Raw genomic sequence first — 12469 nt, forward strand, 5'->3', positions numbered from 1 at the left:
GACAAAGAGTTCCCATATATGAATAAAATAACCCAAATATTTTTTAATGGGTAAAGACTTAGGTATTAAACAAAAGAGAGTATCTAAATCCGATAAGCCATATTAAAAGGTGCTCAATATCATTACTCATCAGGAAAATGCAAACTAAACCCATAATAAGGTACCATTTCACTCATCAGAATGACTATAATTAAGAGGACTGCCAAAGCCAAGCACTGACAAGGATGTATTGATAGAAGAAACTGGAATTATCGTACATTGCCAATGGGAGTGAAAACTGGTACAAGCACTTTGGAAAACAATGTGGATACATATCACAGACATATGTTGAGAGAAAGACTTCAGGCATAAGAAAGTATGATTCCACTCACATGAAGCCCCCAAATAGGCAAAACTAATCAATAGTGATAGAGATAGAAGAGTTTTGAAGGATGGGGAGGGATACAGATTGGACAGGAACAGAGGTGAGCCTGCCTGGGGGTTGGAAATAGTCTATGCATTGATCTAGTTCCTGGATACAAGATTGTATACATATGTAAAGATCCACTGAACAGTTAAAATATACAAATCTTAATGTGTGAAAAGTATATATCATTAAAATGTGGGGAGACTACTACCAGCCAAATCTGTGACAATGGGAGCATCAAAAAGAACTGCAATGGATTATAAAACATTGAATTAAAAAAACCCTATGCAAATATAATAAAATAAAATGGCAGGAGAAGGGATTTATCTTTATAGAACACCATTAAATGTAGATGAAATGGCAGAATTAGAAAATTACCATTTGCAATGGCTAATGTAATAACTAATTCAGGCAAGAATCATCAGTGGATGCATAATCAGTTGGTAAATGTTATGGGGGAAGAGGATATTCAAGTGTCTCAAAGTATCATCCCTCATTTCACCTATTAATTAAAAGAAAAAAGGGCATTTTTATAATAGAGACATGACAGACACCACCTTAACCATGTGATTTAACTTTGTAAATTCAATAACAGGACAAATTGGTTTTGCATGCCTCCAGAGGTAATGCAAAGCAAAGGACACAACATCATATGTGCCATATTCTTCATTAAAATGTCTAATCTGGCTGGGCGTGGTGGCTCATGCCTGTAATCCCAACACTTTGGGAGGCTGAGGCAGGCAGATCACGTGAGGCCAGGAGTTCAAGACCAGCCTGGCCAACATGGTGAAACCCTGTCTCTAATAAAAGTATAAAAATTAGCCAGGCGTGGTGGCACACACCTGTAATCCCAGCTACTTGGGAGGCTGAGGCATGAGAATCCTTGAACCCGGGAGGCAGAGGCTACAGTGAGCCAAAATTGTGCCACTGCACTCCAGCCTGGGCAGCAGAGTGAGACCCTGTCTCAAAATAAAATAAAATAAAATAAAATAGTCTTCTAATCTGAATCTATTAACGAGGAAACAATCAGACAAATCCAAATTGTGAGACGTCTACAAAATAATTAGACTCCTCAAAAATGTTAATGCCATGAAAAAACAAAGAGAAACTGTTTGAGATAAACTTTTCCAAATAAAATGACAACTAAATGCAATGTACGATCCTTAATCAGATTCTGGATCCAAAATAAAATCATCAAAGAATTTATGGGAATAAACTATGAAAATGAGAATATGGGCTGTATTAAGGTATTACTGTGTAATTATTAGTGTTAAATTTCTCAAGTATGATAACAGTATTGTGATTATGTAGAATGTCTTGCTTTTAGGCAATATATACTGAAGTATTTAGGGGTGAGACAGCATCATATCTGCAGCTCATTTTCAAACGGATTAGAAAAATGTCTGTGTCAGTGTTTGTATAAGAGAGACAGCAAATGTGTCAAAATATTAAAACTGGTAAATGAAACTGAATCTAGAGCATTTCTGTAAGTTTCAATTTGTTCAAAATAAAAAGCCGGAGAAAAAACAGTAAAGAAAAATGCACTTTTGTTGTACTGCCTTTTTAGTACAAGATTTACAGTGAAACTAGATATAGCCCAAGTGAAGATACAGAACAGCTGTTGGCTCTACCATCACACCTGGGAACAACTGCATAATTTAGGTAAGGATCTGCCATAGGCAGAGAGTCTTTGCTGGAACCAAACAACTTCTAACCATATAAATAAGAATCTGAAAAAGGTACAAACACAAAAATGAGTATTTGTTGTGACAGCCACCCCTCCCCCAACCTGGGACACACACAGACATACACACACATGAATCTGGCAGATAAAGAGGAGTGGGGGAGAGTCAGAACTCTGTGAGATCACAATCTCACACAGCATTTGGTTTCGGGGCCTTGGCACAGCTGAATCTGGAGATGGATTAAAATTAACTAAAAAGCTGAAAACTAACCCCTTCCCAGTTTAAAGAATGGTAAGATCAAAGGAATCATCCCCTGAGTTAAGCACCTGGAAAGTTGGAGACTGAGACAAAGAAAAAAGAAATCACTGTAATTCATTTGAAACTGGAAGTAAACTAAAACAAATTAAAACTATACTACTGCCCTGCTTGGCAGGGCTTCATGTGGGATCCAAATTCTCAGTCTCTCTTCCTAGGTGCTTGACATAAAAGATGTTCCCTTTTTAGGGAAATTGAAGCAAAAATGATTATCTAGTTCAACCTTCATCATTCTTTTACAGAAATTGTCTTCATAAAATAAAAAGCTATGAGACATGCAAAGTAGCAGGAAAATATGACCCATTATCAAGAGAAAAAAAACAGTCAATGGAGTTAAATTCCAAGATAATGTAGGTGTTGGCATTAGAAAACAGACTTTAAAATAACTACAATAATTAGATTTTAAAACGTATAGAAAAATATTAGTGAGATGAAGAGGCAGGAAATTTCAACAGAAAAATGGAGGCTCTATGGAATAAATGGAAATTCTAAGAAGGAACGAAGGAAGAAAGGGAAAGAGAGGAAGGGAGGGAAGGAGGGAAGAAAGGAAGGCAAGAAGGGAAGAAGAGAGGGAGGGAGGGAGGGATGGAAATTTACCAGATAGTGATAATAGCAGACTGCATGCATCAGAATAAAGCACCGCCAACTCCTATACATGGCAAGAGAAAATACCCAAAGGGAGGAATAGAGAGAAAAAAAAAAATGGGAGAAAAAGGAACAGTGTCAAAAATCTGTGAGATAGTATTTTTTAAAAGTTGAACATACATGTAATTAGAATCCCCAAAGAAGAAGAGAGGAAGAATGGGGAAAATAAAGTATTTAAAAAGAAGATCTTGGCTAGAAATTTTCCAAAACTGATTAAAAATAAAAACCAACCCAGAAAACAAAAGTGTTCAATGAACAAAGCACGTCTAGGTTTACCACCATCAAACCAATAAAAACCAAATATATAATGAAAATCTCTGAACAACAGAGAAAAGACACATTACATTCAGAGGAACAATAAGAATTATAGCTGACTTCTTATAAACCGGTGGAAGCCAGAAGATAATGGAATAGCATCTTTAAAGTGCTGAAAGGGAAAGCTATCAACCTATAATTCTTATTAAGCAAACATATACTTCAAAAAATGAAGGCAAGATAACATTTTTAGACAGACAAAAACTAAGGGACTTATTGGCAGATCTTTATCACAATGCTAAATAAAATTCTTAAAACTAAAGAGAAATTATGTCAGATGGAAATCCAGATCTGCAGGAAGAAATTAAGAACACCATTGAGATGCAAACTGAAATGCCCAGTTGTGAAGGATGACTAGGCGTTAATTAGGCACACGTCAAGATGAGGGGCGCAGAGGCATATACAAAGCATAGGAAACAGCATGTGCAAAGGCCCTGAGGAAGGAAAAGGAATAGTCCTTTCTGGAAACAGAAGAAAGAAGGGCCAATAGGGCTGAAGCAAAGCAATCAAAAATAGCCTGAAGAGTGACGTGAGACAAAATCAGAAATCCAGCTGGGCAAGGTCATAACAGATGTTGTAGGCTACTTTTCTATTGTAGATTGCTTTTCAAATTTACATCAGCAGATATGCTGCTAAGATTAACATGCTCTGTTTTTATTGAACTTTTGAAGTTACTGTAGGTTTAATAAGTTCACAAATCCATAGACACACCAGTGAATAGCCTTCATAAAATTATACATCTTGTACTTACACTGTTTCCCAAATTCATGTAAAACATAATTTAAATCATGTCACTCTACTAGTCATCATCCTCTAGTGGCATTCCATCCACTCCAAATAGACCCTATAATGACCTACAGAAATCTGCTCCCACTCTATCCTACCTCCAATTATTAACTGTCTGACCTTATCCGCTATCACTTTCTGCTCATCCTTGCTACTGCCCAGTATTCTCCTGCTTTAAGGTAGAAGATTATCCCACTTCATTCACATGATTGTTCACAAGGATAGGAGTCTTTGTTTTACTTGCACATCTCAAGCATCAAAAAGTACCTGGGAAGAAGGGACTTTCTTTCTTACCAACCTTACCAAAACCTTACCAACACTGGAAAGAAGGGAAGAAAGAATGAAAGAAAAACGAAGTAAGAGGTCCACAAATTGGCAAGAAAAGGTCTCTGCACCTTTCATTTGTAAAAGATAAATTATAGTGATGTCTTCTTTGAAATGCTACTCCCCTAAGAATTTCGTATTTGGAGAGACTAATGGGGAATCAGGAAACTTGTAATCCTCTCTCTGCAAAAAGATCCACAATATTGATCTGGGCAATGATTTCTTGGATAAGACTGCAAAAGCACAGACAAGGAAAGCAAAAATAGCCAAATAGGATTGCGTCAAACTAAAATGCTTCTGCACAACAAAGGAAATAATTAACAGAGTGTACAGTCAACCCGAGGATTGGGAGAAAATATCTGCAAACCACACCTCTGATAAGGGGCCAATATTCAAAATATATAAGGTACTCAAATAACTCAATAGCAACAAAACAACTCAATTTTTAAAATGGGCAAAGAATCTGAAGTCACTTCTCAAAAGGAAAGATACAAATGGCCAACAGATATATGAAAAAAAAAAATGCTCAGCTTCTCAAACCATAGGGGAAATTCAAATTAAAACCACAGTGAGAAACCTACACCTGTTAGAAAGGCTATTATCAAAAAAGACAAATGATAAGTGTTGGAGAGGATGTGGAGAAGAGGGAACTCTTGCACACTGTTGGTAGGAATGTAAATTTATACAGTCATTTTAGAAAACTATGTAAGTTTCCTCAAAAACACTAAAAATAGAATAGCAATCCCACTTCAGAGTATATATACAAAGGAACTGAAATCAGTACATCAGAGATATCTGCACTCCCATGTTCATTTCAGCATTATTCACAATAGCCAAGACACGGAAGCAACCCTAAGTGTCCATAAAGAGATTAATAAGGAAAATTTGCTATACATACACAACGGAATATGACACAGCCTTAAAAAAAGAAGGAAATTATGTCATTTGAGACACTATGAATGGAACTGACAGAGATACTATGCTAAGTGAAATAAACCAAGCACAGGAAGGCAAATACTGTATGATCTCAATTATATGTGGAATCTAAGAGTCAATCTCACAGAAACAGAGAACAGAAAGGTAGTTACCAGAGGCTCAGGGGAGAGATGGGTAATGTGCAGATGTTGATCCACAGATATAAAGTTTCAGTTGGGCAGGAGGAATAAGTTTTAATGATCTATTGTTCCACTTGGTGACTACAGTTAATGTATTGCATATTTCGAAATTGCTAAGAGATTTTTAGCATTCTCACCACAAAAAATGCTAAGTTGGTGAGGGAATAGATATGTTAACTTGCTTGATTGACTCTTTCTACAATGTATACATAAATCAAAACATCACACTGTACCCCACTAATATCTACAATTATTATTTGTAAGTTAAAACAAATAATTTTTTAAAAATACAAATAAATAAAATCATCTCCCTGCTGGGTAACCTTGAGCCAATCACTTAATGTTTAAGTGCTTCCATTTTTATGATATTGGAATGTTCACTACATACCTACCATATAAGAATAAGAATTAATGAGATTGTTTTCAAAGTGCTCTAAGAATTCTTTTCCAAATCTTATATAAATGGCATAACTATTTCAATAATTAGGAACATGTATGTTTATAGTTTAGTCTCAGTTCAGTGGAAAAATATTTAAGAAATATGGGTCAGAAATATGTTGTAGGTCATAAAAATGGTTTAATTAGATATGAACCTCAAGGCAATCCTTTCATTCACTTTAAATTACTTTTGGAGGCAATCCGTTAATTTACTTTGAAGTACTTTCGGGGGCAATCCTTTCATTTACTTTGAATTACTTTTTTAAAATGTATTTATTTTTAAAAAACACAAAGTAAGGAATTTCCTCTTCATATGTGTACATCTTTATATATGTGAACATCTTTTACATAAAACAGCATCAATCATGCTTCATAATAATTTTTTTAATCTTATCATGAAAAAGCTAAACAATCCTATTTCACAAAAAAAGAATTTCTAACAATCAAAAAATTGGAGAAAAATACAGTATTCAGGTTTTTCTTAATACACATTCATGTGCTTTTCTATCAGCATGCCAAAACCCTGCACCATCAACACATGTTGTGTGCATCTTGTAAAAGAAAACATTTTAAAGGCAAAACAAAATTGCTAGCTTTCATCTTTGCAAAAATTCTCAATTGTGACTGAATGAAATTTACTAAAGAAGCTTGATCAATGAAAACATCTGCATAGTTTTTATTATAGAATGTATAACCTCAACATTACTGATCATTATTATAAACCCTTTTACTGCATTTCACAAGTTTCGGATTTGAAGGTTTTAAATGTGTTTTAAATAATTTATTTAATAATCTATTAAGCTATTCATGCTACACATTTTATAAATAATTTGTTCAGGCAAAAATTTTCCCTTATAAAACCATATGAGGAAAAAGAAAATTTTAAAAAAGTAAACCTATGCTATCTTCACATGTAGTGCACAGCAAACTACATAATGGAAATAGAACTTAAATGCAAGTAACAATTGAGAACTATTCTTTGCAACATAAACCAATCACTCATGTGATCAAAGTAACTCTCCTAAGAAAGTAAGGTACCGGTTAGTAACCCAGTGGCATTTCCAGTGAGCAATGCTCTACAAAAGCTCACTAAATACATAAATAGGTACTACCAGAGTAAATATTTCTGTCCATAGAAAAAGTATATACTTAAAAATCAGAAAAAAATAGGGTCTGAAGATCTCATTACCTAAAACGAAAATATGTTGAGTTCTCACCAATATTTTACCCAAAACTGCAGTTTATGCTCTCAATTTTAATGCCATTACCTGTATTTTCACAAGTAATTTTACATGTAAGTAAAATTATCTACTTGACTATTTCAGTAAAACTGAAATTCTAATTCTAATGATATTCGGTTTACCTTTTCCTAAAAAAGTGATGTCTAAGCATGCTTTTCAGCTACACCAAGTAGCTGAAAAGTATCAAAAAGACAATTCATCAGCCTGAAAAGCCAGTTGAATAGTCTGAATTCCATTGTTAAAATTTAAGAAAACTTTGTAAGGAATGATGTTCATGCCACATGAGTATCAAAATTATAAGAAAACGTAAGACGAAGAATTAAAAACCATAGTATACACTGAGGGTAGCACGATAGACCTTTGCACTTTACAAACAGTGGTCTTCCTGGTGGTCTAGGTTCCAAAATTTTGAATAACCTCTTTCCTCTGACACCTTATTGTTAACACACAATGCTTCTTTCTTCCATTATTAAATGGTTATTTCCCTGTTTCTTAGGTCATTCCCTCAGAATCTGTGGCTCAAAGTGCTTCATGGTCCACACTATCACAATGTGCAGGATCCACAGTCAGGAAAAACCAAATCTTTTTTTTTTTTTTAAACACATACTATACCAATTAACTGATGTCATGTTGCAACCACTTGTCAATTACTCTAGCTTTACATTTCTGTGATTCTAAATACTAAGAACATATTAGCTAAGTATCCATTAGTAACTCGCTGACTAAAAAGAAGTCCAGCATTGACTCTGCATTATGTTTGGAGATGATTACTGTTATAGCACATGTTAAAACATGTGCATATTCAAATACAGCAGGCACTGAGTGTATAAAATGCATGGAAGGACAAAGTCACTTCACACAAAGCAAGCTGACCTTTATTCTTTTCTCCCTCATACAAAATTTATCATGAAAGAAATCTAGACAGATGTATTAGAAATTCATTTACAACTATGATTAATCTAGAAACGTTGACATTCTGAATTTATAGTAGAATTTAAACTAAGTTAATTAGTCAATAACAGTAATAACACAAGCTAACAATTACATAGCAGCTACCATGTGCCAAACACTGCTCTAGGCATTTACACATATGAATTCACTTAGTCTCTGCAATAATCCTATGAGGTGGGTAACATCATTATGCCCATTTACAAAGAGGAAACTAAGGCAAAGAGAGATTAAATGACTTGCTCAGGTCACAGAGCCACATAGCAGTCAGGATTTGAACCCAGGCAACCTGGATCCAGAGTCTATATTTTTTACAATACTGTTGTCTTTAGAAAGCCCTTGAACACTAAAATATTTTGCAAAAAGTACTTAAAAGAGTATCAAATGTTAATACATTAAAATAAGAATATGCTGTGTAGTTTCTGCAACAAAAAGTTATCCCTACAAAAGAAAGTTGTATCAATTACCACCTACTTCCATTATAACTAAATTGTTAGCTTTCACAGTTTTAAAATTATACAAACAATTGATACTTGAGGGCAGGCGTGGTGGCTTATACCTGTAATCCCAACACTTTGGGAGACCAAGGCAGGAGGATTGCTTGAGGCCAGGAATTCAAGACCAGCCTGGGCAACATAGAAAGATTCCATCTCTATAAAAAATTTAAAAAACTAGCTGAGTGTGGTGATAAGCGTCTGTAGTCCCAGCTACTCTGGAAGCTGATTCTGAGGCAGGAGGATCACCTGACCCCAAGAATTTGAGGCTGCAGTGAGCTATGATCTACCACTGCACTCCAGACTGGGCAACAAAAAAAGACACTGCCTCAAAAACAAAAACAACAACAACAACAAAAAAAAAAAACAGAATTGATACAGTTGATACAGACCCATTATTTCATCAAATTACTAAGCCTTATATCACATAAGAAGTACAATGGTCATGAAAAGTTAACTCAAATGAATGCTAGTGTTTAAATTTTGAATCAAAATAATAAGATCAAACATTTAAAGAATGCCATTATAGATTAAATTTAAAGAAGAAAACTGCATTTCCAGAAGTAATTCTGAGAATAGTTTTTGATTACCTACCTCTCCATGATTGAAAAAGAAGCACAACACTGTAACCAGGCCTCCTAATCGGCTGCCACTGGAAAAGAAGAAAACATAACTCAAATAACAAAAATTCAGGTCAATCCTAAGAAAAACCTTAAAACACATAATATCATAACCACTGGTATTATATAAGATTTTATAGTCATACTAGAACTCTCCTATGCTTATTTACAAAATAGTTTATTTCCTCCAAAAGATCATTAGTCAAAATAATCTTTTCTCATTTTTTAAAAATCATTTGCTACCTTCAAAATGTATAGACTCAGAAAAGCACGCAAACTGAAAGGGAATAGAAAATTCTTAGTAGTCATATTACTGTACATCACGCAACCTGATATTTCTTTTTATTTTCTTTAGTACCTCATATTTATTTATGTCCTTCAACATTTCTCAAACTGCTTTCCTTGGGACAGATGACATACATTAGGAAAAAGGGAGAGAAAGACGTGCAAGGAAAGGGATCCATGGTCATAAGGATGGAAAACCCCACACTGCCTACCTGCTCCTAGAAATTCACAAGGCACTTCCACACATTAAAGATTTAATTTTATATTTCCCAAATCCCATCCCCAAGCTACTTTTCTGCAGAATACACTTGAGGAATACCAATTTATAAAGTTTTATGTTTCATTTGATTTCAAAAACTGGAATAGAACACAAATATCAAAGTATGACAATCAGGCTTATAACTCTAGGTAAGAAATTACAATGGTATAATCTGGTAGTTCTAACAATTAACCTTCATTTGCTCAGATGAGAGTGAAATATGTTCCCTATTGTCCCCCAAGTCTGGGTAGGGGACATAAGGCTATCTTTAGGTTTATTTCATCATGTTCTGCATTTTTACTCTTGAGGTCTTCTCACTCATTTTAGCTCATGCTGCTTTCTCATTATTCTACCCAAATATCCTTCCTTCTTTTTCTCTATCTACCTTCCTTTTATTTCTCTATCTATAAGTATACCACAGAGAGGTCAGAGAGGAAACAAAGAACCAGATGGTATAGGCATCAAAGGCCTTGTATTTACTCTTGTGATGTATCAATGAGGAAAAGAGGAAGAGATGCAATGGCCAGCAGGGATAATCCATGTAGGGAGTATCCAGAAGGAGACAGGTAGGGCTGGGACCCCAGCACAGGTGGCCTGTTTGCCTTGGCAAAAGAGGAGGAAGACTGCATATTAGTGGTAAGTACTTTGTGGAGCTTCCATGTTCCCCACAGAGCAGAAGACACAGCCACTCGCTGCCAGAGTGAAACGATGGCAGCATTAAACGTTTGAGGAAAGACAGAAATGTCTGAAATACCACTCACATTTCAGGAGAGTGGTAACTGGGGAAAACACAGTGCTGCTGGGATATCTTAGGGGAACAACTGAGGCTGCAGAACACAAATCTACAGGGTCAGTAATCATAAGACTGTGTGATTTTTGCCTACCGATTATCAGCCTAGACAGCACAAATGAAATATAAAGGGGCAAAGAAACTGAAGCCAGAAAGTGTCTGAAGTGATGGATCACTGAAATGAGAGCATCAGACAGAGGAGCTTAGAAAGCAGTACAGGCCAGGAAGTGGACGCCAGGGTTCTCTCCTGAAAGGTGTACCACATCTTCTTCAGAAGAGAAGCACACAGGCTAGGCCCAGGCTTCATCACAAGTGATTAGACATTAGAAAGGTTAAGATAGAGTTAACGGTTTAAAAAACAAATAAATACATTTTAGTGTTTTGAACTTACTCTAACAAGACAAAAAATATAGAAGTTTATAGGGGAAAAAAAGTGATTTTCTCACTACCCTCTCCCAATCCTATTCACCTAAGAACATTTTAGTATGTGTCTGTTCTTCCAAATCTCTCTCTCTAACCACACAAACATATATTTTCTATGTGATCAATATAACATCTCTCTGAAATTTGTTCCTTTTCTAATTATTCTAGCATAAAGATTATTCCTAATCAATGTATGTAAACTTAAAGGGATTATTTTTATAGATGGCAAATACTGTATAGTACAAATATATTTATTTAGTCCATTCCATATTACCGGGCATATAAATATTTTTCAGTTTCTTGCTATAATAAAAAATGGTTAAACATCCTCGTACATGTAAATGCTGGCACGTTTGTTTCGGCAGGAGGGACCTAACTGTGAGACACGTGAGTCAAAGGATGTGAGCTGTGCCCGGAAGCACTGCAGCAGTCCACACTCTTGTCACAGAGTATGCAGGAGGTCGTTTCTCCACCCCTCGTGCAGACTCATGTGCTTTTCAAATTTTCTCCTTAGATAGGTGAAAACCCTTTTCTCACTGCCTACTTGTATGCAGTAGCATTTTAGTGTTTTGTTTTGACAACATGCATTTTCTCTTCCGTGAACTGCTTATTCATATTCTTGTCTATTTTTCTATTTGACTGTTCCCTACTTAAAAATTAAGGTTATCAAACCTCTGACTGTCAAATGTGAAAATAACATTTAAAAGCTGTCCAAAAAAACAACCCCTTTAAGCCTTGAGAGAGATGTGACTGTGATCTGAGTCACATATGGTTACAACTTCCGTTCTCAGATTATAGATTAACTTGCTTTCTTATTTTTCCTGTTCAGTACAATGACTAGAGAATTAAACAATGTCAGGCACAAAACCTTCCTGCCTTTTTTTTTTTTTTTTTTCCAGAGACTGGGTCTCACTCTGTCACCCAAGCTAGGGTAGAGTGGCACAATCATGGCTCACTGCAGCCTCGAACTCATGGGATCCAGCAATCCTCCTGCCTCAGCCTCCAGAGTAGCTGAAACTACAGGTGTGACCCTGCCTTCGTAGTTAATAACCCCTGTTAAAGATTAATTTTCCCTGTGTTGTTTTACTTTGCTTAGATCAGACTATAGAAAACCCATCATTATTATACTCTCTGTAAAAAAAAAAAATGTTTTTAACTGTACCCTTCCCCAAAAGAAATAACACCTATAACCAATCAAACTGCTGTGACTATGTGCCAACCTGTATGAATAATGTTGTATTCCTGCTAAAAATGTCTCTGCCTCTGCCTATATAAATGAAACCTAAACTTCCTTACTTCCAAAGTCTGACTTCATTCCTTTGGAGTTCGTGTTCCTGAGTGGTCTACCCTCACACTTTGTGCTTGAATAAACGCTATTTA

The 12469-nt window shown here is 35.5% G+C and overlaps 1 protein-coding gene across 3 annotated transcripts in view; it reads right to left on the reverse strand.

The window, feature by feature from the left end:
* The window catches only part of DPY19L1 (dpy-19 like C-mannosyltransferase 1), a 109161-nt gene that overhangs the window by 51697 nt on the left and 44995 nt on the right, over positions 1-12469 (reverse strand). For all 3 annotated transcript variants that reach the window (NM_015283.2, XM_011515246.4, NM_001366673.1), the window contains exon 7: positions 9307-9364. In NM_015283.2, the coding sequence (NP_056098.1) occupies positions 9307-9364 (58 nt within the window). The remainder of the gene's footprint in view (positions 1-9306; positions 9365-12469) is intronic.

The sequence above is a fragment of the Homo sapiens genome, chromosome 7 (genome assembly GCF_000001405.40).
Source record: "Homo sapiens chromosome 7, GRCh38.p14 Primary Assembly".
Lineage (NCBI taxonomy): Eukaryota > Metazoa > Chordata > Mammalia > Primates > Hominidae > Homo > Homo sapiens.